This window comes from Homo sapiens, chromosome 10 (assembly GCF_000001405.40).
Source record: "Homo sapiens chromosome 10, GRCh38.p14 Primary Assembly".
Taxonomy (NCBI): Eukaryota; Metazoa; Chordata; class Mammalia; order Primates; family Hominidae; genus Homo; species Homo sapiens.
The window spans coordinates 127,877,735-127,904,737 of record NC_000010.11 but is presented as its reverse complement, the minus strand read 5'-3'; the positions used below and the strand labels follow the sequence as shown (position 1 = coordinate 127,904,737).

Below are 27,003 nucleotides of genomic sequence, written 5' to 3'. Positions count from 1 at the left end.
GTGTTGTCAGAAGTGTTTGTGCCAGGGCCCTGTTGATTACCACAGGGAAGCCCTTCATCCTTCTTCACCATCTTCATTTTTGCCTCTCATAGGCTCAAGGTCCCTATTGACATCAGAGTCAATTCCCCTATCCTCCTCCCAGGCTTTGAGGAGCTCCTCTGCCTCTTGCCCTCCTGAACACCTCACCACTCCTCTTTTAGGGCCCTTCTTGAGTCCACAGAGTCCTCTTCAGCTCCCTGGCACACTGGCTGTCTGATCCTGTCTCAGGCCTGTCCGTGGCTGGCCTCCTGCCCGCTCTCCCCAGGCCTCCCCTACACCCAACCATTTAGCCCCTTCCCTCTAAAACACAGCTTGAGGCAGTGCTCCTGCGATTATTGATATTAACTGCACTTACTTGTCTTGTCTTCTATTTTACTTGAGGACTGGGCTTTTGGGTTTCTCTGCAGAAACTGAGATACTGCCCATCATGCTTAGAGGGCCCAATAGATGTCAATTAAAATTAAAATGCTGAGGCCAGGAATACTGTCTAGGAGAATAAGCAAAAAAAAAAAAAAAAAAAAAAAGGCAAAATCAATGTGTGGAAAGCAAATAAGAAGTTGCTTTTAAACATCATACAGAAACATTCTCATAAAGTTATTCAACCTTAGGAGGAAAAAAGCAGGTCTTGATCATTGATTGGCTGTGGGGCAGGGCAAGGAAGGAAAAACTGAGTGATATGGTTTGGCAGCATCCCCACCCAAGTCTTATCTTGAATTGTAGTTCCCGTAGTCCTCATGTGTTGTGGGAGGGACCCTGTGGGAGGCAATTGAATCACGGGGGCAGGTTTTTCCCATACTGTTCTCATGATAGTGAATAAATCTCACCAGATCCGATGGTTTTATAAAGGGCAGTTCTCTTTATAAAGGGAACATGCTCTCTTGCCTGCCGCCGTGTAAGATGTGTCTTTGCTCCTCCTTTGTCTTCTTCCATGATTGTGAGGCCTTCCCAGCCATATGGAACTGTGAGTCCATTAAACCTCTTTCCTTTGTAAATTACCCAGTCTCAGGTATGTCTGAACGGACTAATACACTGAGACAACACCAGAGTCCTTCAATGATTTTGTTCAGGCCCTGTTCCCACCAAGAGGTAACTTTTAGTAACCACAGTCAGGATGGTTATTCTGATCTCAAGGATGTACTAGATTGAATAACAAATAGGTTCAGAACTATCTATTTTTACATTACCCAACTATTCTTCCCTCTCCTCCTCTTTTTCCAAGTTATGCCCAAGTGTTAACAATTACTGAAATCAAGAGGACAGATCTTTTTGCTGGAAGATTCCTCTACTCACCCAGAAAAAACAATAATTAGGCCCTCCCCCAGATCCTTACCACATTTGAACTCTTCGTTTTTTTCTTGGATTGCTTTTCACTGATGAAGAGTACACACGCATTCTACAGATCTTAAGGGATACGCCAATGAGTAAAGACAAGTGTATAAACTAGTGAAATGCATACCCATCTCAAGGCAGTAAACATTTCCATCATTGTAGAAAGTTATTTGATGTCTCTTCCCCCAATAGAATCTCCCCACTCTTGCCAAAGATGGCCATTATTCTGAAATCTATCACCATAGGTAGTGTTACCTGCTCTGTATCTTCATATAAATGGAATCACATAGTATCTCATTTCTAATTTATTTTAGGCAGCAAACTCTTTTTGAGATTCATCCTTTATTGCTTATTATCAGTAGTTTTGGTGATGTACCCTTTTCCTCTAGTTGATTTTAAAATCTTCTCCTTATCACTGTTTTCAAGAAATTTGATTAAAATGTGTCTCGGTGTTGTTTTATTTTATTTTATGTATTTATTCATTGAGGTGGGGTCTTTTACTGTTACCCGGGCTAGAGTGCAGTGGTGTGATCATAGGTCACTGCAATCTTGAATTCCTGGGCTCAAGAAGTCCTCCTGCCTCAGCCTCCTGAGTAGCTGGGACTACAGGCATGCACCACCATGACCAGCTAATTTTTAATGTTTTTTTTCTGTAGAGACAAAATTGCCCAGGCTGATCCTGAATCCCCAGGCTCAAGCTATCCTCCCACCTTGGCCTCCCAAAGTGCTGAGATTATAGACATAAACCACTGCACCTGCCATTGATATGGTTTTCCTTGTGTCTATTTTCTTGGGATTACTTGAGTTTCTTATTTTATAAATTTGTAGTTTTCATCAAATTTGGGAAATTTTCAGCCATTATTTCGTTAAAAATATTTTCCCCTTCCTGTCCTTCTTGGACTCCAATGGATGCATGTGGTATCTCCAAATATTGTCTCACAAGGTTACTGAGGCTTTTAACATTTTTAAGCCTTTTTTCTTGTAGGTGTTTTAGTTTAGATGGTTTCTATTGCCAAGTTTTAAAATTGACCAATCTTTTCTTCTGCAATGCTTAATCTTCTGTTAAGTCCATCCAGTGATTTCTTTTTTATTTCTGTTATGTATTTTTAGGTAATAGACTTTTCATTTGGTTATTTTAAAAATAATTTTTATTTCTCTAATGAGGTCCTCATATGGTTATTTATTATATTCATGTTTTCTTTTAAATCTTTGGATATATTTAAAATAGCACTTCTAGGCCACTTAATTATTCCCAGTTGTTTGCTTTTCTTTTTTCTTCGTTTTTCTTTTTTTTTGAAACAGGGTTTCACTGTATTGCCCAGGCTGGAGTGCCATGGCACGATCTCGGTTCACTGCAACCTCTGCTTCCCAGACTCAAGAGATTCTCCAGCCTCAGCCTCTGGAGTAACTGGTACTACAGGCATAAACCGTCATGCCTGGCTAATTTTTTTTTTTTGTATTTTTTGTTTAAACAGCATTTGACCATGTTACCTGGGCCAGTCTCGAACTCCTGAGTTCACAATGATATGCCCACCTCAGCTTCCCAAAGTGTGGGTTTGCAGACGTGAGCCACTGCGCGTCCCAGTTGTTTTCTAACACAAAATGCTACAAGAATAGCCTTGTTCATATGTCATTTCACACATATGAGGGTATGATTGAATCTTAACTTCTTGGCCACCGAGTACAGGTGAACAATATATCATTATGTATGTGTGTGTAATTGTTTTGGGAACAGTTATCACATTGTCAAATGCATAAGGATGAGGGCAGGTGACCATTCCATGCACAGTGGCAAAAGTCATTTATTATTTCTCTTCTTCTATGATTAAGAAAAATTGATTCAATTTACAAAATAAACTGATGCCTGTAAATTAGAGTTGTTTTCATTGGAAGGCCAAATAATAAAATAATCCAGCACCTTCCATGGCCTGCTTCAGATGATTTCATAATGCATTGAATACCCGTGTGTTCCTCACTCAAAAAATCATAGGACTCTCAGAAATATCTACACTTTGGCAAAAGGATATTTTTCCTTGAACTTGAGAAATTATAAGACCTATGACATAATTTCTTTATTCCTCACAGTGAAATTCATGTCAATAATCCACAGAACATTATCACTGGTGGGATGATTTATTAATCACCTTGTTTCTACCTGGTATATAATTTCAGTTTGCTCTTGGAATTGAGGAAAAAGTTGGTAATGAGACATAATACAGCACTGAGGAAAGCTCTCCTAAAAATGAGATACAGATATTTATTTCTTAGCGGTTACTAAAGCACAATAGAAATTTAGTTTTTAAATATTTCATTTCCTAAAGCATGGCAGTGTTAAGAAAGGTTTTTACATATAAAAAAATTGCCTTTAATGGAAAAGTGTGGTCATCTTGAGGCAATTTTTCTACTTAAATGATCCCAAAGTACATATAAACTACATACGTTTTATGATGAAAGTATACATGTACATGAATTCATAGTTAAAAATGGTAAAATAAATCCTGTTATATATTCTGGAACTTCATGTGCTGTAAGGGGCATATTTGTAATTTTTAAAAAATCACTGATGTGTAGTAAGCTTCATGAAAAGTAGAAGAAATCAGCGGCCTCAAACTGTAGTTAAAAACAAAACAAAACAAAACAAAAAACAGTTTCCCCAGTGCATTCCAGCAACGTAGAAGGTCATTTTCTTTCTTCATATCAGCTAGGCCAGCGTTTTCCAAAGTAAGGTTCTATTGGGAGTGGTGTATGTGGAGGGATGTCAGAGATGATTGTAGATAGTACAAGGATGGCCACTTCTCATTTCATATATAAATTGTATATTTATTTTCATGTATATTAGAAAAATAGTGAGACATCGCTCAAGATTTTATTACAGCTAAGCTAATGTAGATAGTGTCATGGTCAATTAATTTATAAAAAATTAATTTAGAGAAAATTATTAAGGAAATAACATTAGAGGTGATAGTCATAGATGGCAAAAATTGCAACAGTGGAACTGAAATGACTGAGTTATGGGAAATCCTGAGCTAGGGCCGCCTCCCAGCCTCTAGTAGTGACCTGCTTTCCAGATTTTGGTCTTTCTCTCCTCCTTTCTGTGAGGGCTTCGTGTTCTAGATGTTTTCAACTTGAAGAGGCCTCTTCACCACAGGCTCTGACATCACCTTCCTCTTATGTACACCCAGACTCAGTCTGCCCTAGCCCATCCCTTATAAAGTTCCTGTTCCTGGACAGAGTCTCAGGCTGCCTCTTACTCTGAGCAGAGGGACAAGATAGTCCCCATTGCCATGCCCTGTGCAATTACCAAGCCTAATTAGAAAAGGTCCTTGACTGCATGGAGATTCTGATTAGCCAAGAGCTGATGGAAGCAAGACCACCAATTCTGCCTCCCTAAACTCAGAATGAATCAGCAGTAATCCTACTTACAACACAACAAGACCTCTCCCTGCTTCTGTCCAGCTCTAGGTGTGTGGGTGTGTGGCAGCATTACAGCAAGTAAAATGCTGAGAGATTTCTGGGGGAGAGGCATACGATTCTTTCTTGTAATAAACTTGAAGCTGAGAGGATAAAAGTTCTGAATGAGGATCCAAGTCCATGAACTTGGGAGCAGAGCCAAGAGAAACACAACCCAGAGATGGAGAAAGAGCAAAATGATGTCCTGGAGACCTTCTTGGAAGCCCTGCATCATGTCACATGAGAGGTTTCCCTTACCCCAAACTCCTGTGAGCTTAAGCTAATCTGACTTACATGTTTTGTCAAAGATCTGTATACGTTTTTCCCTCCTGGATGTATTTAGAAAAAAAAATGATAGAAAACCATCCAGTCAAAGAGTGACGCATGGAGAAGCTAAGATAAATTAGCCCCAGGTAAGGTAAGAAGTATGTCAGGGAAACTCACTAATCATGGATTCGTGTAAACCAATAGTTGGATAGAACTTCTCATGTTAAACTAAGCAAGATGAAAAGAAATACCCTGGGATCTACCCAAACACAGCAGAAGAAAAGAAAGTGTAAACACACCTCGGGCTGGAAAAACATCCAATCCAATGGGATCTACACCAACATAGCAGAAGAAAAGAAAAAAAGGGTAAGCACACCTCAGTCTGGAAAAACATCCAATCCAATGGGCGGAAGCAGTTTCTTCTGCATGTATTATGCTATGTAAGAACTTACTTATAATAAGAAAGATTCAATTACGCAAGGGACTAATAATGAGATATAAAACAACAGAGATAAGTTAATAGAAAACAAATTGAGACTCCAAGCCATATAACTTAAGATTTAATACATAAGTTAGAAAAAAATTTAGCTAAAAATGAGTTATCATTGTGGAAGAAAATCACAGTGAATAGACAGCAAAAATATAAAGGGAATAAAGCAATTAGAAGAAGGTGAATAGTGGATATGAAGGTCAAAGATCACCCAACACAACAATAACTGGTGTGTCTGCAGGTAAAATTTCAACAAGTGGAACACATAATTTAGAAATATGACACAGAAAAATGTTTCTGTAATAAACTGAATATGCAAATTGAAAAGAGAAATTACATGAAAGGAGAATAAAATGAATCAGAATAATCTAAACAAAATTTAGGTGGGTATGGCTGCACTTCACAAACAGACTCTTATAACCATGCTATCAGAGTAACTCAGTAACATACAGAGAGAAAAAATATGGCTGGCCTCAGACTTTTCAACAGCAACGTTCAGTGCAAAAAGCCAATAAAGTGGTAGCTACAAAATTCTAAGGGAAAGAAAGTGTGACAGCCATGTGGTCATTCAGTGAAGGCTGACTACCTCCTTGGACTATGATGGAGTAAGAAGGGCCCCCTATAGTCTTATAAAATTAATAAGACAGAAGATGATATATAAAGGAATGGTTTCTATAATAGACCTTGGACATCAGGCAGCACAGGGCCATGATTCCTGAGATAAAAGAAACAAATGAAGTCAGACTGACAATTGCGCCAGGAGGTTTTCAAGGAGGAAATTTCCAGGCTACGGTGTGGAAGGGGAAACCAAAGAAGCCAATGGTCTTCTGGAGTTGAATAGAAAGAAACCAAGGTTTGAGGAGGCCAAAGTGCTAGGATTGGTGGTGAGTGCTGGAGAGGAGAGAGCTGCAGAGGGAAGCGTAGAAATCTAGAGGGATCCCTGGAATCATTAATTGAGTGCTGAGGCACACACCTCAGAGGAAGCTACGGAGACCAGGACGGGAGCCATGGCAAAGCCAAGTGACAAACAATTCCTGGAGCTTACAAAGGACTGGAAAGAATGATCTCTTAATAGAGAATCCAGAAAGAGACCCACACAGATATGATCATCTGATTTTCAAAGAAGACGCCAAGGCAGTTCATCAGGGAAGGGATAATCTTTTCAAGAAACCAAGCTGGGACAACACCCTAGCCACATGCATAAAAATGAACCTCAGCCCTTACCTCATATCATATACAAAAATTGACTCGAAATAGACCATAACCTTAAATATAAGACCTAAAAGCATAAAATTTCTAGAACAAAACATAGGAAAATAAATATTTGTGCTCTTGGGTTAGGCAAAAATTTCTTAAATATAACATTTAGACCATATTCCATAAAATGAAAAAATTGGTAAGTTAGACTTCACCAAATTTCAAAAATTTTGCTCTTCAATGATGCTGTTAAGGAAATGAAAAAACAACCCATATACTGGAACAAAATGGTTGCGAGACATATAACTAATAAATATATGATATATATAAAACATATATCTAATAAATATTGTATCTTGAGAATAAAATATAAATAATTCTTACAACTCAACAAAAAGAAGACAAATCAATAAGAAAATGGACAAAAGATGTAAACAGAGGCTTCACCAAAGAAAGCATATGAATGGCAAAGAAACACATACAAAGATGTCCAACATCATTAGTGTTAGCAAAATGCAAATAAAAACCACAGCGAGATATCAGTAAACACTCATTATAATGCCAAATTTTGAAGGACTAATAATAGCAAGTGCTGGTGAGGATATGGAGCAACTGAAACTATAATACATCTCTTGTGGGAATGCACAGTAGAACAGCCACTTGAGAAATCAGTCTATCAGTTTCTTATAATGCTAAATATACACTTACCATGTTCCAGTAATATCTCTCTTATTTATTTATGCAAGAAAAAGGAATCAGATATCCACACATATACTTGTACTCGAATGCATGACAGCTTTATCCTTAACAAATATAATATATTGATGTAACTTGAGTCTACCAAAATGTCCATCAGCTGCTGAGTGGATAAACAAATGTGTGTATCTATATCTAGATGAATCTAAAAAATAAAGTCAGATACAGAAGACTACTTACTATAATATACCATTTTTATGAAATTCTAGAAAAGCCAAAACTATAGTGACAGAAAAGCAAACCATAGAATTGTAACTTAAAGCAATATTACATATAAAATAACAAACATTTTCCAGTGCTATAGAAAAAAGGGCTTTCTCATACATTTATGGTGGGATTATGAATTGCAAGCCAGTTGGGGGCCAATTTATATTTAATATAATAAGTCTAAAAATGTCTATCTGAGTCAGCAATTCTCCTGAGATTTATTTTAAGGATATAGTTAATGATCTGTATTTAAGCAAATTTGTATAAGCAAAAAATTTCATAATATCCAAAATGGCCAAAATAAAACATTGTTAAATAAATGATGGTAAATCCATTAAACAAAATAGCCTACAGTGACAAAAAATGTTATAAACATTTATAAACATTGATTATAAATTGTCTACAAATAAAATCTCAATAAAACCCTAAGAGTAGATGTATTTTAAGATCACATTATTTGATTAAAATTATAGACAACTAGAAACAAATAACCGAAATAGAAATAATGCTACCATACAATTATCTTACAAACTTTGTCCTCAACAAACAGGAAATAAAAAATGCAATTTCAAGATGTTAAATGCCAATTTACATATGTAAAAACCTATGGAACCTAGCCAAAGACATATATATATATGAAGAGAAAAATATTCATGGTTTTAAATATTTTATTAATGCAAAAACAAAATAATTAAGAAAATAAAATATTCATTTCAGAAAATTAGAAGAGGAAAAACAAAATAAAAGACAGCAACAGAATAGCAGGAAAGATAAAATTTAATATTAGAAAAAAACCCAGGAAATGAAACAGATATGCAGTAAGGAGCAGAGAAGGCAATAGAAATTCTAGTTCTAGTAATTTCCTGAGTTCTCATTGTCACCTCACCTTGGGGAATGCAAAATAATCCTGTATCTTTAAAAAAAAAATCACTTTTCTGTTTCACACAAACTTGAGTTGGTTTTTATATGTAAATAGCCTTAATAACTTTGGAGTTGGGATACCAAATCCAGAAAGTATAAAGTATAAGACTGAAATATTCGGTTACATAGACATTTTTAACCTGAGCCAGCAAAATATCTACACATATGTTTAAAATGTATAAATGTATAAATATGATTGAAATGCAAATAACAAAATGAATAAATATATTCAATGAATATATTTCAGTATACATATATATATATCCACAAGATACACAGAACTGACAAAGGTTTACTATCTTTACTGTACAAAAAATCATAAATAAAAAACCTCTCTATATAATAAAGGAGCCAACATCATAAACAGAAAACTGTGTCAGTAAAAATACACATGGGTAATAATCTTATTAGAATATAGTAACTCTAACTGACATGTAAAAATCAAATAATGCCAACAAGCTACTTCTTGTCTCCCAGCTTGTGAAAGATTAAAAATAGTAGCAATACTATGCTGTGGGGAAGCTGTGGAAATTGGGGACTCTAATGCAAAATGCTGTTGGCAGGAATTTAAATTGGGACACACTTTCAGCTGGTGAACACATATTTTTGGTTGACTCAACAATTCTCCTTCTCAGAATTTATCTCAAGGAAATACCTAGAAAGGTTAGCAAGGTCGAACATAAAAGGAGTATCACCACATCACGGGTACAGCAGTGAAAAGCTAGAAACAACCTCAATGTCCACCAAAAAGGGTTTGTAGAAATAATTTGTGGTTGCTTTATACAATGGTAAATGTGATCTATTGACATGAAAGGATTGCCATGGCAAGTTGTTGAAATTTTTATGAAGCAGATTATAAAATAGAACATAGAGTAGGACTCAATTGTATTATAAATGTGTGCATGGTGCTACACCAGATGTTTGTCTCCTCTGAAACTCATATTGGTGAGTTTCAGTGTGGCAGTATGGAAAGTTGTCACTTTTACGAGGCAATGGAATTATGAGGGCCCTGCCCTCATGAATGTATTAATTATTTCATGGACTAATGGATTAATGGATCGATGGGTTTTCTCCGGGGTGGGACTGGTGGCTTTATAAGAATAGGAAGAGAGACCTGAGCTAGCACTGTCAGCCCACTTGCTATCTGGCCACCATGATGCGCGCCCTGTGCCACCTCAGGACTCAGAATCCTCACTAGCATGAAGGCCCTCACCAGATGCAGCCCCTTGACCTTGGACTCCTCAGCCTTTAGAGCCATAAGAAATAAATTTCTGTTCTTTATAAATCACCCAGCCTCAGGTGTTCAGTTATAGCAGCAGGAAGCTAAGACATAAAGCTGTAGGTATGAAAGTCTTTGCCCAACTGTGAACACAATTACTTCTTGTTGGATAAATTATTTATTATATTTACTTTCTTCTTTATTCTTGCCAGTTCCATTTGAATACATTTTTGTAATAGGCCTATGTAATACAAAATACAATAATAAATACAAAATTATTTTCCACACTAGGAATAGGGCCAGAAGGAACTAACTACTGAAATTCTGTCCCACCCTTTAAAAGTGTGGTCAAAATAAATAGACTTAAATGGAAAAAATAGTAAATTTTCCCAATAATATACATGTTTTGAGGATGTAGGAAAGTGTGCACCTTCATTGTGTTAAGGGCATGGTGGGTGACTGGTATCTTTTTCTAATGAGCAGCTGGGCAATGTGTAGCAACAGCTTCAGTAACATTCACAGACTTTGACTCACTTCTAGAAGTCTAACCAAAGAAATAATCAGAGATATGGACAAAGGTTTATGCATAAGGATGTTCATGCATTGTTCTTCCTTAATCATAATTTTAAGATAGAAACAACATAAGTGTCCACAGTAGTAGAGTATGTGTGTACGTATCTCCAATAATTTATTGAACAAATGTTTGCTGAGTGTCTTCTCTGGGCCAGGCTCTTTGAGAGTTCCCTGGAATCCAGTGGTACACAAAACAAACATGTCCACCTCCCGGAGCATGTCATCTAGTTACAATAACGGAAAAGACAGATGATCAGCTAGTTCCACAAATAAGTTAGGTGTTAATGAAGAAAAGTAGAGGATGAAGTAATTGCGTTTTTTTGCCATTAAAAGTAAATGTAACTTTTAATGGCAAAAACTGCAATTACATTTGCACCAACTTAATATTATATTACTAAATAATCAAAGAATACAGTAAAAAGCGGTATGGAAAACATGCTATGAATGTCTATTTATCATCTCAAGAAATGATCTTTTCGCCAAATGGGAGAGTTTTTCGAAAGTCCAGAAATGACCATTTATAAACTATTTACCATTCAACAGAGTGGATACAGCTATAACGACCAAAAACAAGAATGTTCAGAACCATCTCTATCAGAGTACTAAAAAGTAATAAAGATGAAACTTCTCAAGATATAATTTAAATAATACGCAAATATGATCCAATTTGAAAGAGGAAATTTGAAAGCCAAACCTCTCTGATAAAGTCTAAAAATAGAGAGGTATAAAACATAAGGAGGTGTAAGCTTTTCTCTTTCCACTCCACAGTACATTTGACAAAGGTTTACCCTCCTTAGGATTCCTCTTGGAACAATTATAAGAGTCAAATCACTAATGAGTAAAGAAACTGAGCAATGCATAGCAAAAACTTCAGAAAAATCCACAGACTTCGTCAAACTTCTAGAAGTTTAAGCAAGGAAGCAAGTGGAGATATGAACAAAGGTTTATGCCTAAAGATATTTGGGTGTTGTTCTTTCTCAATCATAATTGTGAAATTGAAGCAACATAAATATCCACAATAGTGAAGTATATGTTTACATATTTCCAATAATTCTTGGAGGAGTTGGGGTTTCATGTTGTTGTCTGCTAGACTCAGCAACGCTTTGGGAATACAGATCCTCCACGCCCTATTATTTAGGAATTCTACTCCTGTCATGATATGGTAGGCTAAACTTGCTTCCATGACACTTGGCCAAGGATTATAAATTAATTGCATGATTGAGGAAGTCCCTGGGAAGACCATGCCCACCCCTTGTTCATGCTGGTTGGCTGTAACCATAGCAGCCTCTTACTCCAGACCAAAGTTCAGCTACTGTTAATTTTATGGCCATGTTCAGAGTTCAATGTCCATTAGCATAACCCTTCCTCAGGAAGAGTGAGATTTTATATTTGACAATAAAGTGTTAGACTCCATTTCTAAATACCAGACTTCAAAAGATAAGGTTCAAAAGTGTTATAAGAAGATATTCCTTTTTTTGTCCTAGAGAACTTATTTTCCTGTGAAAATGCCTACCACAAAGAAGACATTGATGTTCTTATCAAGCTTTTTCACCAGCCTTGGGTCCTTCATTGTAATTTGCTCTATTCTTGGGACACAAGCATGGATCACCAGTACAATTGCTGTTAGAGACTCTGCTTCAAATGGGAGCATTTTCATCACTTACGGACTTTTTCGTGGGGAGAGTAGTGAAGAATTGAGTCACGGACTTGCAGAACCAAAGAAAAAGTTTGCAGGTAAATGATAAACTAATTTGAATGAATATAGTGAGATTGAATTAAGGTTTATGTCATTCTATATTTGGGCCAAATAACCATTCAAAAATAATTTCTTTGTAAGTTTTGGGTTAGGCTGAAGGTACAAGCTTAACTCATAATTTTGGAAATTTGCCATGTCATTATTTGAGCTTCCTCGGTTCTCCTTGTGTCTATTAATACAATAGTCTATATCATTCTAGCAGTGGCTGTATTTAAATAATACCTACCAAGTTGACTGACAAGTAAATAAGTAAAAATATGTGGCAGCAATACGGCATTGAATAGCCAGTAGGAACACATGTTTTAACTGTATTGACTGGGTTTTTAGCTGGAGCCACAACCTCTGTCTAGAACTTCACAAGTGGCATCTATGCAGGAAAGAGTAAAATGGAAAATTTATTATCTCTATTTCTCAAGTTCATTTCTTTAACTGATTTTAATTTACCTCCAAAAAATCTAATCGTTGGAAATTATATTAAATTTCCATTAATTTATTAATTGTATATTTGATAGGAATTCCTAAACATTTTTTTTTCTGATTTCTTATATAATAATGCCCTCCTCTCCATGGAAGTAAAATTAAAAGTTCATTGAGAATAATAAGTTGATTTAGCTACTTATTTGACTTTTGAGGTTTGATAACCTACCTTCATGTTTTCTAAATTTAAAAACATTTGTAAATTATGTAACACATTAAGTGGACTTTGTTTTGAACAATGTTGTATGCAAGTATTATACAGGCATTATTGGGTATCATACAGTCATTACCTTTTGACTTATAAATATGCATCATTTTCTACCTTATACACATGTAATGTTTAGTCCTTGTGTAATGCATGAAGAAGTTTGAGTCCTAGACACTAGCTCTAAGTTCTAGCTCTAGTGTGTTTATGACTTTGTTAATGAAACTATTTTCTTAAATCCAAAGCAACCTGGTTATGTTCCCAAGTTATACATTTGTCATTTAGATGTTAGCAAAAGCAGCATCTCCCCTAGCATTGCCATAGCCTTTCAGGGACATCTCCTCTGGTGTCAACCTCAGCTTCCCATAAGGATGGGGAACATTGGCTTTACAGCAACTTTCAGAGACTCAGTCATGCTTTCAGTTATGTGAATAGCATTTTCAAAACCAAAAACTGCCCTGAAGCCTCAGACACATTTAACAAATTTTAAGTAAGAGACAAAACCTACAGTTTTTTTTGGTTTCCATATGGTGTCTGTTTGGAACCAGTTGATTTCCAATTTGAGATAAATGGCTTCAAAGAAAGCATCAACTATCTCTATGCACGGAGACTCAGAGGAGGCCAGGATGTGTCAGGACCTGGCTCTAAAGCCCTGTGTGCATGCAGGTGAGCATGGTGATGTCAGGGGACCAGAGCAGGCACTTGTCAAGGAGAGCCCTGAAGGGGCCCAGGGCCAGGTAGGTGCGGCAGCCCAGGTGGGAGCACAGCCAGGCAGAATATTTGCCTTCCCTTTGCTGGATCTCTACTTTAAGTCTCTGTTACTGGGGAGCCACATTCTGACCTTCCCCAAGTCACTGCCCAACCTCCTAGTGCTGAAGAAGGTGAACCACCACCCAATTAATGAAGGGGCTGCACTGTCACTCTGGTTGACACCTAAGGACCTCTCAGAGCCTAGGGGATCTTTATTGCCAATGATTGTAATAATCGCTGGGCTTGAACACCTGTAAGCAGTTCTCTCAGACAGGGGAAAGTCATGTTACTGAAATCTTCAACTTGCGGTGTTCAGCTGCTAACGATCCCGGGATGCTTCTCCTGGGAGCAGCCCTGCAGTGTGTACATGGAGACGTGGGTGCTCTCCTGTGGTTTCTCGTGGTCACTTGGGGCTTTTTTCAAATCAGAAACCAACCATTGGCAGCACAATCAAATCTGTACAAACGCCCCTTTCTTGCCCAGCGGTGGTGGACTGACTGTTCCAATTGAGAATTTAACCATATCAGCTTCTTGGCTAGCATGAGGTCACATCAAGAGTCCCCCAAGAGTAATAATTATTGCAAAGCTCTGCTATATTTCTGCATGGTATTTATCATATTGAGCCAATTTTGACTGTAGATTTGAAACGAAATAGCAGAAGGAAGCAATGACAGCTGATTTCAAAGTGCCAAAATAATTCAGCCAACATTGGTCAATCTGTGGGGAAAATCGTCCTTCAGACCTGGTAAGGAAATCCTCCAGTGTGTAACTGGAGGGTGCGGGCAGCTCAGGCTGACTTGCTGCATCCTAGTTTGTCCAACATCCAGATGAAAAGTGACAGGTCCTGTATGTCCATCTGTGAGCAGGTTGTCTTTGCTACTCCCAAAGTTCTGGAGATCTAATTTCTGTTCAAAAAAACTTCCCTGAGCAGCTGCTGCATGTATAAGGGGCTCAGGATACTGAAAGGAATTGCACATGGTTCCTGGCCTTGGAGGGCTCACCATTCAGTGTGAGATTAAGACCCTTCCTCAGCTAAAATCAGTGCCCTGCACTCACTGCTGGAGCATGGTATGTGCAGGTCTGCATGCAAGCAAGGGGGTTGGGGGAAATGCATGTCTGCAAAGCCCAGTTGGAGGACAGAATCCTGAAAAATGAGCTGCTAGGAGGTGTAAGCTCACACTGTGGACACCCACCTCCTTCTCGGTTCTGGATCTTGGGTGCCATGTAAAAAGAAGTCATTCCTTTAACTCTGTGTTTTGAAAATGTGGTCAGGGCCCCGGAAGCACAATGTGCTCTGTTTCCTCACACTGGCAAACATGACAAAATGAGTCATTCACATTTAGGACATGGAATTCCTGTGAATGTCGTTTCAAATATTACTCAGCCTACGCACTGACCAGAACTTATTTTTTACAGAATCATTTTGACAGGAAAAGTGTTTATGATAGTTTTGTTGTTGTTGTTGTTGTTTTGTTTTTTCATCACCCAGGCTGCTTCACACCCAGACTGGAGTGCAGTGGCGCCATCTCGGCTCACTGCAATTTCCACCTCCTGAGTTCAAGCAATTCTCGTGCCTCAGCCTCCCTAGTAGCTGGGATTACAGGAATACACTACAACACCCGGCTAATTTTTGTATTTTTAGTAGAGACAGGGTTTCACCATGTTGGCCAGGCTGGTCTCAAACTCCTGACCTCAAGTGATCCACCCACCTCGGCCTCCCAAAGTGCTGGAATTACAGGCATGAACCACTGCGCCCGGCAAGATTTTTCTTTTCTTTTTTGAGACAGCGTCTTGCTTTGTCGCCCAGTCTGGAGTGCAGTGGTGTGATCATAGCTCACTGCAGCCTCTACCTCCTGGGCTCAAGAGATCTTCCTGCCTCAGCTTCTGGTGTAGCTGGGATCACCAGCACACACCACCACACCCAGCCACTTTTCTTACGTTTTGTAGAGACAGGGTGTCACCAGCCCAGGATGGACTTTATTATGAGAGATATTTCTCCTCATGTGACACTGCACTCTTTGTTCTCAGTTCCAAGAACAGTCTGATTTGCAGATGTGTGGGACTTTGAGCAATCACGTTGCCTACAGCGGAAGGTAGACTCACCTGGGATGCGGGTGAGGCATCCCCACCCTGGACCAAATGAATAGCAATCTCCGCGGGGTGAGGCCCTGACCTGCTCGTTTTTTAAAAATCTTCCCAGGTGATCCTAATTGAGTGTTGACAACAACCAGCTTCCACCAAGGCCAGGCACTAGATTGACAGGCATGGCTGTACTGGGTATTGTTTTTTAAGTCCTTTGGATGTGGCCTGCTTGAAATTAAATTAATTTATTGGCAAAAGCTCTGGACAACCTTGCAAAGGAAGCAAGGCAGACTGAGGGAAAGCTCAGCTCCCGGCTGGTCTTTGAGTGCTGCGTCCGAGTCAGGATTCACTGCAGCTGGCGGGAGTCTCTCCCCATCTGGCACTCCCCCACCCGCTAGTCTCTTTCCTCCACTAACCTCCATGTGTTCTCAGGGAGCTCAACATTGCACCATTAGGCCAGGCTAAAAATAATTAGAAAAATAGACCTTCTGCAGAAACTAATGAATTGCAAAGAGAAGAACAAATGAAGTTTATTTCTCCAGAATTCATAAAGAGCCCCCACCTTACTACTCCTACCCTGTCCACATAAGGAGATTCTCCTGGAGAGCAGGTTCATCATCTGCCCCCAGAGATATAACCACACTGTGATGGGGAGAGTAGAGAGGACAAAGAGGGTGCCCTCCCAAGCTCAGGCCACTTCTCCCTAAGGAACCCTGGCAACTTTCTGAGAGGCTGGGGCACCAGCCTGGGCTCCCTGGGAGAGCTACCAGGCCACACTTGGAGATCTGTTGATAGAATGAGCTCCTCCCATGGGCACTGGGAGCTGCCCTGTTCAGGCTCCCTGGTGACCAGGTGCTTACGGAGGGAGTCACGGTAATTCCCACCCATCCACTCACAAAGCCACGGGCTCTCCCTTGATGTCCGAGGACTTACAGAAAACCAGAACTCAAAAGGCAGATGGCAAGTGGGGCCTGAAGGGTTACATTTTCCTGCATGGGGAGCCCAGATGTCCGGATGGCTCTCATGGGCGCCCATTATCCACTGCCCAACAGCACGTTTCTGCCTCCCAGGTGCGGGATCTGCGGGCCAGACGCTCTTCTCTTTGGCCACGTTGTTCTTGGCTCTCTCCTGGGGCAATTAGCGCCAATTGTGAGGTGGCCTTCCTGATTCACACGCTTGCCCCCTAAAAGGAAGAAAAAGAACGGAATGTGTTTGCTAATTTTGTAGGCAGAGAGCAGCTGTCAGATTCTATGGAAGTTTATTGTTATTTCATTCTTGGTAACTTTCCCTGAATTTTCAGCTTGTATTGTCTAAGTTCTGAGCCAGGAGCTGGAGCGGAGATACAGCTGTCAGACCTGTGTGGCAGGAAATTCAGAAAGCCGGAAAATAATTTTAAAATGCAGCAGTTAGAATCAAGATGAATTGTCACCTTAATATGCAGAAAATATGAGTCAACAGGCCCCAAATGACTCCCTTTTGAAAAATCACATCATTAGATCTTACCAAAAGTCACAAACAAAACCAAATTCAATTGTCACTTTCTAATTTACTCTGAAAAAAAAAAAAAAGGAATGTGAACCATTTACCAGTGAATACCCAAAAACAGCTTTTACTAAGTGTGTAAAGCAGAAAAATACTGCAAGCCACTTCAGGGGCCTTGGACACAGCTCCTTTTTTGCTAAGGAGTGAGTTTATTTAGTCCCCAGCAAACTTTGGGATATATCCTGGAGTTTCCCCTTTAGCGTCCAGGAGGAACTGGCGAGTGTGGAATGGGAAGCGATTCCCTCTTATGGTAACTCATCTGCAGCCTCTGATCTGTCCCCCTGAACAGGTGTGTCCTACGTGCTGTAGATTTTTTCCTTCTCTCCTCCGGTGTCCCCCTCTATTACTTTCAAAACAAGTGTGTGCTAAATTGTAGCAATATTAATCCCCCAACGGCTGCACCTCCACAGCGAGCAATAGGCAGAGGCAAGAAATTTCACCTGAGGTCAGGGATGGAAAAAAAGGTCCCAGCCCAGGTGGCCACATCCCACCCACCCAGAAGGCAGGCCCAGCAGGCCCCACCCGTCCCTGCCCAGGCAACAGGCAGTGGCTGGCGTGACCCAGGTCCCGCTAGAGCCCTTCCCTGGGATGCATAGCCAGAGACTATGCTGAGAATTTCACCACGCTCTATGGGTTATTAGCAGAAATTGCAAAATAGTCCAGTCACCATTGAGCACAAGTAGGCTGTACCTGTGCGAGCTGGACTTTGCTCACAGTCCCCAGTTCCACTTGAGGAGCAGGGTGGTGAATTCATCGTCCTCATGCCACTGAGCTGAGGCTTGCCCAGTCTTCTCCTGGTTTGCTCCCTTCTCCCATGGGTTTTCAAGGCACATGCGGCCATGCCAACCGCTGTGAGGCGTATCCACATTGCCCTCCTCCTGCCCTTTTCTCTCTCCTCCCCTTTTCTTTCCTGCACTTTCTCACTCTCCCTTGCAGCCAGAACCCTTGGGTTACCAGTCATTGCTGCTTCTGGGGCTTCTCCCCCTCCCGGTCTAGGAGGCTGCACCCCGAGGCCTGCACCGCTTGGGATGAGGGTCTTCACCACAGAACCCTTTTGCCAGCAGCCCCTGAGGCTGTTTCTCAGGCACCTGATTGCAAGCTGCTGGCCACATCTCCTTCATGCCCACTCTGTTCAATGGGAGGAAACTTTTCTTCCTCATAGAACATTGCTGATTAAAAAGCCAAAAAAGAAAACAATAGTGAACAAATAGAATTAAGAGGTTCAAAAATGGAGTGATGACGTCCTCCTGTCCAAGGGGATTGTCGGGTCTCATTGGGAGCCCCACGTCTATCTGGCTATGTGTGGTGGCCTGTAATCCCAGCACTTTGGGAGGCCAAGGAGGGAGGATCACTCGAGCTTAGGAATTGGAGACCAGCCTGGGCAACATAGTGAGATCCTGTCCCTATGGAACATTTTTTAAAAGGCCGGGCGTGGTGGCTTATGCCTGTAATCCCAGCACTTTGGTAGGCCAAGGCGGGCAGATCACCTGAGGTTGGGAGTTCGAGACCAGCCTGACCAACATGGACAAACCCCATCTCTACTAAAAATACAAAATTAGCCTGGCATGGTGGTGCATGCCTGTAATCCCAGCTACTTGGAAGGCTGAGGAAGGACAATTGCTTGAACCCGGGAGGCGGAGGTTGGGGTGAGCCGAGATCGCACCATTGCGCTCCAGCCTGGGCAACAAGAGTGAAACTCCAACTCAAAAAAAAAAATTTTAAAAATTAGCTGAGCGTGGTCGTGGTGGCACATCCTGTAGTTCCAGCTACTCCGGAGGCTGAGGCAGGAGGATTCTTTGCTTGAACTCGGGAGATCAAGACTGCAGTGAGTGATGATCTTGCCACTGCACTCCAGTCTGGGTGACAGAGCAAGACCCTGTCTCCAAAAACAGAAGAAAAAGAGAGAAAGAGAAATAGAGTCAGAATAAAGTATGTGTAGGAGGCCAGGCTGGCAGGAACTTTGCAGTCACACTCAGCAGAGAATACTCCAGAAATGTGGGCTGTTAATCATGTTGGGATTTATATCCCTCCTCAAATATTTGGAAAGGCTGCCAGGCAGGAAAGGAGCAAGTGAATTTTGTATGATTCCCAAAGGAGAATTAGGACCCCTGGGTTTAAGTCGTGGAGATGCAGATTTGGGCTCAGCATAATGAGGAATTTTTAAATCATTACGGCGATGCAAGGAGGGAAAGGGGAGGGGACTTGGTGACCCCTCCCATGGGTGCCCACAGCACCCTGGGGTCTCCTGCCTCCCATTCTGAATTCTTTGAAACACTCTGGTTCCATTAGGAACTCCTTGACCTTCGACCCGTGGGCATATGCTGAGGGAATACCACCCCTAGGCCCAGAAACCAGAGATCCTACCTGGCCTTTTCGCTTTCTGTTCTTTAAAGCTGCTCCAGATAAAGAGGTGAGGGCTCCAAGGCTCTCTCCCTGGAGACCAGAGAAACCAGAACGGAAACAAAGAGCCTTTCACTTGTTTTTACCCACCTGTTCCCAGTGATGTTGCTGTGGCCTTACTGTGACTCGGAACTCTTCTCCCTAATCCCTTTCTCCCATGTCCTGGTGACTTTCATGGAACATCCTTGTAAACACTATTTCATGTGCTGGCCTCCTCCACAGGGCCTCACACACCCTGTCAGCCCGTGGCTGGGCTGGGCTTACATGTAAGTGCAGCCCTGTGGTGCCTGGGCATTGCATCCTCCACAAAAGAGCCGGTGGAGGAGATGGCTGGTGGCAGTCAGAAGCCTGAGAAAGGCAAAACCAGGAACCCAGGACTGACAGCCAGGGCACCTTTGCTTCATGTTATAAGAGTGTCCTTCCATGCCTGGAGCTCCTCTGCACTTAAGAAATATGCAAATTCATCCAATGCTGTTAGGATTCAGAAGAGTTCTCCTTGGAAAGCAGAGTCAAGGCTCACTCATGGGCGAATTCCCAGCCGCCTCCAGCGTTGGAGCCCTCTGGGCATCTGGTCCTCTCTGGCCCCAGGGAAGTGGAGTCTGAAGTAGGACCCACAACTCGATTTGCACCAACAGAAGTCATTTTCTTATGTCAGCCTTCAGCTTCCACTTTCCTGGTCACCTTTCTTAGGCTTTTCTCTGCTGATGCCACCCCTGACTCATGCAATTACCCCAGATGCCACAGGGCTTGTGGGATTCTCACAGTGCACAGGTTTTCAGGGTGACCTACCCTGTGAGTGCCTCCAAGTGGAAGCCAAGTTAGTGCTCAGAGCAACAGGGGCACTGATGAAACTGGGAAAAGCACCTTGGCAAGGACGGAGCCCGAGCTCAGTAATGGGAAGGCTGTCCAGCCCTGCTGCCGGTATCCAGGAAGGTAAACTCTTTCCTAGGAGACTTCAAAATCAGCATAAATGTCCAGTTATCTGTAGTGTCGCGGTTATACCCATCCAACCACTGATTCAACAACCAGCCTCCAGTGGGGAATGCGGGTCTTGTTCTTGCATGGGTTGGAGGCTCCTGGTATCTCTAACTGACATCCAACAACCAGTAACTCAAGTCACTAAGAGGGTAGGGTGGGGAGGAATGCCAGGCCAGAGCTGGTGTTTGCATTATGTGCTATGCACTCACAAAACATTGTTTTAGTTTTAGAGATACTGAATAATTCTTCCCAAAAAACTCTGCATTCGGTGACTATCCTGTTCCTGGTCCTGAGTTTGATCACGTCGCTGCTGAGCTCTGGGTTTACCTTCTACAACAGCATCAGCAACCCTTACCAGACATTCCTGGGGCCGACGGGGGTGTACACCTGGAACGGGCTCGGTGGTGAGTGGCCCTGTGAGACTCGGTGCTCTGCAGAAAACTGCATCCCGCTTGTCCCCATGTCTCTGCCTCTCACACATGCATGAACATACACAGTCACGTTTACACCAAGGAAACTATGAGGACCTCCCATGAGCTGAGGGCTGGGGTTTATTTTGTCAATCCAAAGTGTTTATGAAGCATCTCTGGAAATAGAATTCTGTTTTAAATGCACTGCTGAGGAGGCTTATAACAAGCCAGGCTTTGCTTTTGAGACTCTAACATAAGAAGTCAAAATGCACAAAAGTCAACAAAATATTGACCGGGCTCCTGCCATGTGCTGAACTCCAAACTAGGCTCTGTGTGGCATGTAGAAGCACACACATGTGCACACACATACACATGCACACGCATGCACACACACATGTGCACACACACACACACACACATGAACACACCAGCACACACTTCCTTCTCTTTCCTCCTCCACATGACAAGAGTCCACTTGGTCTCCACACATGACATCTCTGCATGGTCGTGCCACAGAGCCACAGATAATGGCACATAAGAGAATCTGGGTGCAATACCTTTTTTGTGGGCTACCTGTGAGCCTGGGGTGTTGCTGGGTGGTGTTGCTTGGTTATTTTGTTTGTTTCATGGGTGTGGTGCTGGGAGGATGGAGCCCAGATGGGAAGCGGGTCCCAGCTTTGACTCACAGTCTTCTGGCTTTCACTGGGTTTTTCCAGGGCTCTGCAGCTGCCCATCTGCCCAGAGCAGGGCTGGGGAAGTACCTATTTGCCCTGCCCAGCTGCCTTCAGGGCCTTTTGCTCCCACCAGGCAGTCAGGTTTCTCCTGTTCTTTCCCTCTCCACCATCAAAACTGGACCTTGGGAATGAAGCCTGTCCTAAGGAAATGATTTCTGAGGTGGCTTCATGTAAGCTCCAGGTGACGCATTTTAACACAGGCCTGAAATTTTGAAGCACAGGAAGGAGGCTCTGGATATCAGACATGTCAGGAAGCCTCGGAGGAGGGGCTGAGGGCAGCATCATCCTGTCCCTCCATTGAGTGTCATCCTTACCACGAGGTAGGCGCAGGTGGCTGAAGGAGGCCAGCGTCTCCATGTCATGGAGTAGAGGTGTGCTGAGGAATATGAACAACTGGCTCTCCAGTAGGGAAAAACAAAAAGAGAAAAAAGCCCTGGTGATTGGAATCGTGTAAACACAGCCACATGGCCATTTTCAAACTCCCAATGTGAGATCACTGACGTGGAGTTGAGATGTACAAACTGGCCCCAGCACAGCACAGGTAGGACGGTGAGGGATGCTTTTTAAAATGGAAAAGCATTAAGCCAGGACTACAGGTGGACCAGAGTCACATTACATACTCACACCTCAGCTCTAAGGATTTGGGGTCAGGCTAGTTTAACCACATTCATATATGACTGGCTCTTTCTTTCTGTGCTTTTATTATTTGGGGGTAAAAACAAATAAATCCCCCAATTTAATGGGCAGCCACTATGGACGAGGCACAAAAGTCCTGTAGAATGAATATCACTGTTTCCCTTTCTTATGGCAGAGCTGAGTGTCAGAGGTTAAGGGACTTTGTTACACAATCAGATATACTCACCTGAATGCCAGAGTCCCTTGCCTAAGCTACTTGTATGATGATGGTTCACCCCAGTCAATCAAACCAAGGTAAACCAATTGGTACTTATGGCCAGGGTAAAGAGATAGATTATTTTTACTTTTGCTCATGCAACTAAGAAAGTACGAGAAGCAGTGGCTTCAGACACAGCTCGAGTCAAGGTCTCGGCCTGTGTCGTGAGGACTGTTTCCTGCCATTGCTCCATCTATTGAAATCCTCAGCGTTGACTCCATCATTCATTAATTGGCCAGATCAATCCTCTTGAAGATAAGATGACTGCTGGCCACTCTGGGCTCATTGCTGATGGTGGCAGCCCCAGGAGAAAAAAATTTCTCATTTCCTCCAAATTCAGAGAAAGTCCTGGGCTACTTTGCACTGGCATTGCCCTTCTCCCATCCCTTGACCAATCTCTGTGGCTGGCAGGGTTGAATTCCCCAAGCCATCCACTAATGGGCCAAGGCTACCTGCCCATCCTGGAGCTGGGGCTGGAATCGGCCCTTCCCCAGCCGCAGGGGTGAGTGGGGAAGGAAGCCTGCATTCCTGGAGGGAAAACAGGCGCCAGGACCAGAGTAGAGGGCCAGGTGTGGCGCCGGCCGAACAACAGGGACCCAGCATTGCTGTGTCTACAGCCTGCAGGGTTCAAAGTCCACTGCCTTTGCCACTAGGCTGTGGCTCCATATCTCTGCTCCTCCGCAGCAGAGTATGGGCTGGCTTTGCATATAGCAGAGGCCTCATGCATGTTTGTGAAGGAAAACATGAGAAACAGGGACCTGAGAGCCTCCCCGTAGCCCTGCCTACTCCTATCCACAAAGAATTGTTGGACGGAGAGGGAATTCCTGCCACCTTCCTTTCCTGGCTCAGGAGCAAGTTCTAACACACAGAGGGAGGCTGTGAGGTGGGCAGAAAACAACCTGAGAGGTTGATGTGTAAGGAGCAGATTGCATTCTGATGCCTGCCTGGGAGAAGGCCTCAGCACAGCTTAGCTTCCTCTAAATGCCCCTTGAGGCCTCTTGACCCTAACAGTGTTGATAGGCCTGACTTTTGCCCAAAGTAGCCCTTTGGGGGTTCCTGATTTTCTCACAGGAGCTTTGAGGGTTGGAGAACTTACTGAAACTCTCAGTTTCCAGGAGGCTCAGCCTGCAGAAGGGCTTGTATACAGAGATGTCTTAATTCTTGCCTTGGGTCATGGCTGTGGGACAGCATGATCAGACTGACTTCTGGGAGTCCTGGGGCCAGAAGGAAGTGCTCCAAACTCCTAGCGGCTGGTTTTGAACTACCTCTGCTTGGCCAGCAGATGTTGGGTAGGGAAGGAAGTGGGTTTCCTGGCTTGTTTCTGACAGAAAGAAGCAGGTTCTGCTTTGAGGAGACAAACAGCAGTCTCACTTCCTAGGTTCCCGTGACCTCTGACCTCAGCCTACCTTCTACACCACACTGACCTGATGAGGCTGTATCCTGGCCTCAGGGGATAAAATTGTCCCCTGAGAGAAGCTTGGAGCCAGAGACAACTTTGCAGACTGCCTGTTCCAAATACATTTGTGTCTCATCTGAGGAACTCAGAGAGTGGAAAGTGATCAGGAGGTCACAGGGCCCGATGGTCACAGGCCAGGACAGAAGCCAGGGTCCGTGAGCCTTCCGAAGCTCCTCATCTACCCCGGGGCTTCCTCCAGCCCCTATAAATCCTTCTGTCCCAGAGGCTGGAGAAGCCTGGCAGGTAGAGGCTCTGGGCATCTCATCACTAAAGGGGACTCAGGTTTGCATTTTGTGTCTGTGTGTCGGCCCCTCCCCATTCAAATCAAAGTTCTAGGCAGCCCGCTCTGGAAAAAAGCATTTAGACTATATACATCCTGCCCCTTTATGATTAAGCTTTTATAAGAAACTTCACAAGAGGAAAATGAAAGATAATTAAGGCTGTGAGGCACCTGGAGAGCTTCAGAGGGTCAGGGCTTTTGTACGGACAAATTATTAAGAAATAAAACCATTACATTGAGGATGAAGATCTGTCATCAAGGAGTGTTTAAAACATTCTCCTCATACAAAACCCCTCTAATTAAGGCCTTTTGATGGACCGTTTGGAAAGTTTCCCTGGGTGTGGGTTATAGCAGGATACATTTGATGTCCACTGAGTTCCGGGTACATGGCGGCAGACGGAGTCTCAAAGGGCTTCCGTGGCCAGGATCCCCTGGCGGCCCCCGTGCGTATCAGACCTCACTGGGTGAGCCTGCTCACCGGCCTCATCACAGATCCTGGAACATAGGCATCCTTATCCTCCAAAACCTTTCTTTTAACAGCTTTATTGACACATGAGTCACACACCATACAATTCACCCATTAAAGTATACAATTCCATGGTTTTTTGTATGTTCTCAGACATGGGCAAGGCTTACCACTGCCAATTTTAGAATATTTTGATCACCTTGAAAAGAAACCCCATGCCCTTTAGCTATCACCCCCTCCCAGCCCACTTCCAGCACTAGGCAACCGCGAAAGCCCTAATCTACATTTTTTTTTTTGTCTCTATCTCATTCCCTTTGAAAGATGAGGAATGAGGCTCAGAAAGGCTACATGACTTGTTCAAGTTCATCTAGCTGGGATTTCCAATCCTGTTCTCTCTGACTCCAGAACTACGTTCTTTTAACTAGACAAAAGTGGCTCTCCCAAGTCTATACTGAAGAATGTTCTTTAGGGCTCGGCAGAGTAGCTCACACTCGGCACTTTTGGAGGCCGAGGCAGGTGGATCACTTGAGTCCAGGAGTTCGAGACTAGCCTGGGCAACATAGAAAAAGCCGGTCTCCATAAAAAATTAGTCAAGCATGGTGGCATATACCTGTAGTCTCAGCTAGTCAGGAGGCTGAGGTGGTAGGATCAATGGAGCCTGGGAGGTGGAGGTTCAGTAAGCTGAGATTGTACCACTGCACTTCAGAGCCCAGGGGAGAGTGAGACCCCATCTCAAAACAAACAAAAAAGAATGTTTTCTAGTGGAGGATATTGTGAAGAATAAAAAAGGGAAGACATAAACATGCAATAAGTTCTCTTCTCTAATGAGTTTTGTAAGGAGATTCCTCCTGATTAGACACTTGCCAGTGGCATCATATGCCATGAGATTCAAGCTCCTGGGATGGCATTTGTGGCTCTCAGGGCAGCCCAGTCTCCGTACCCAGTTCTTAGGACCCTGGGACCTCTCCCCAGCAGCTGAGCTTGTATCTCACAGTCCCAGGTGCTCCAGGCCCACTGCCCACCCAGGGTCTTTTTAAGGCGGCTTCTTCCATCTGTGATGCCCTGTCCTTCCTCAGCTCTTCCCAGACCTCCTTATACAGCTTCTCTCTGAACTGTCCTAGTCAATCATTCATTCAGCACACTACTGCATTCACCACCTAGGAAGTGCGCTGTTTGGTAGACAAGTTACACAACTGCTTCTGAAAGCGTTTGAGTCAGCACATTCACTATTGGTCATACACAGCCCTGCACAATCTTTAGTGTTCTATGCCTAGACATCTAGTTTGTGTCTTACAATTTTGTACCTTCTCCCTAGTGCTTAAAAGAGTGTAAACTCCTGTGTAGATATGCAATACATTCCCATATATATGTGTTCCATAAAGATAAGTGACATTAAAAACTGTATCACCATGCCATGCATGAAACTCCATCTTCCTTTCAGCATCCTTCGTTTTTGTGACCATGATACTGTTTGTGGCGAACACGCAGTCCAACCAACTCTCCGAAGAGTTGTTCCAAATGCTTTACCCGGCAACCACCAGTAAAGGAACGACCCACAGTTACGGATACTCGTTCTGGCTCATACTGCTCGTCATTCTTCTAAATATAGTCACTGTAACCATCATCATTTTCTACCAGAAGGCCAGATACCAGCGGAAGCAGGAGCAGAGAAAGCCAATGGAATATGCTCCAAGGGACGGAATTTTATTCTGAATTCTCTTTCATCTCATTTTGGCGTTGCATCTATTGTACATCAGCCCTGAGTAGTAACTGGTTAGCTTCTCTGGACAATTCAGCATGGTAACGTGACTGTCATCTGTGACAGCATTTGTGTTTCATGACACTGTGTTCTTCATTGATGCTGTACTCCTGAAAATTTTTCCCACAAGGTTGGGGAAATGAATGGGAAATGTCGCTGGTCTGTGTGGTATTCAAAGCAGTAGTATCATGATGAGCGTAACGACCCTTCTGACCTGGTCTCACGATCTGAAATAATAAAAGGCTGTGTCATGTTTCTTTTCTTTGAGTATCTCAAAGCACTTCAGTGCCTATGATCTCATTCCCCTCAGGAGGGACTGGGTATTTTTATTCTACTCTATGCATGAAGACTTCTGGGAACAGAGGGTT

At 42.6% G+C, this 27,003-nt stretch overlaps 1 protein-coding gene across 2 annotated transcripts, besides 1 other annotated feature; it reads left to right on the top strand.

The window, feature by feature from the left end:
- Window positions 722-943: a silencer, noted in NCBI's record as "fragment chr10:129702059-129702280 (GRCh37/hg19 assembly coordinates)". NCBI's record gives its function as "represses an EF-1alpha promoter that drives an FKBP-Casp9 reporter gene in an ReSE screen in phorbol 12-myristate 13-acetate-treated (for megakaryocytic differentiation) K562 erythroleukemia cells {active_cell/tissue: K562(+PMA)}" and the evidence as "EXISTENCE:reporter gene assay evidence [ECO:0000049][PMID:32094911]".
- Window positions 11,797-26,897, top strand: CLRN3 (clarin 3). 2 transcript variants are annotated; one of them, NM_152311.5, is made up of 3 exons: window positions 11,797-12,182; window positions 20,863-21,042; window positions 26,318-26,897. In NM_152311.5, exons 1-3 carry the CDS (start codon window positions 11,954-11,956, stop codon window positions 26,587-26,589), a joined length of 681 nt encoding a protein of 226 aa, NP_689524.1. In that variant the 5' UTR covers window positions 11,797-11,953; the 3' UTR covers window positions 26,590-26,897. The 2 variants fall into 2 exon arrangements, with proteins under 2 accessions (NP_689524.1, XP_011537576.1); XM_011539274.3 differs by lacking the exon at window positions 20,863-21,042.
- The last annotated feature ends 106 nt before the right edge of the window (window positions 26,898-27,003 follow it).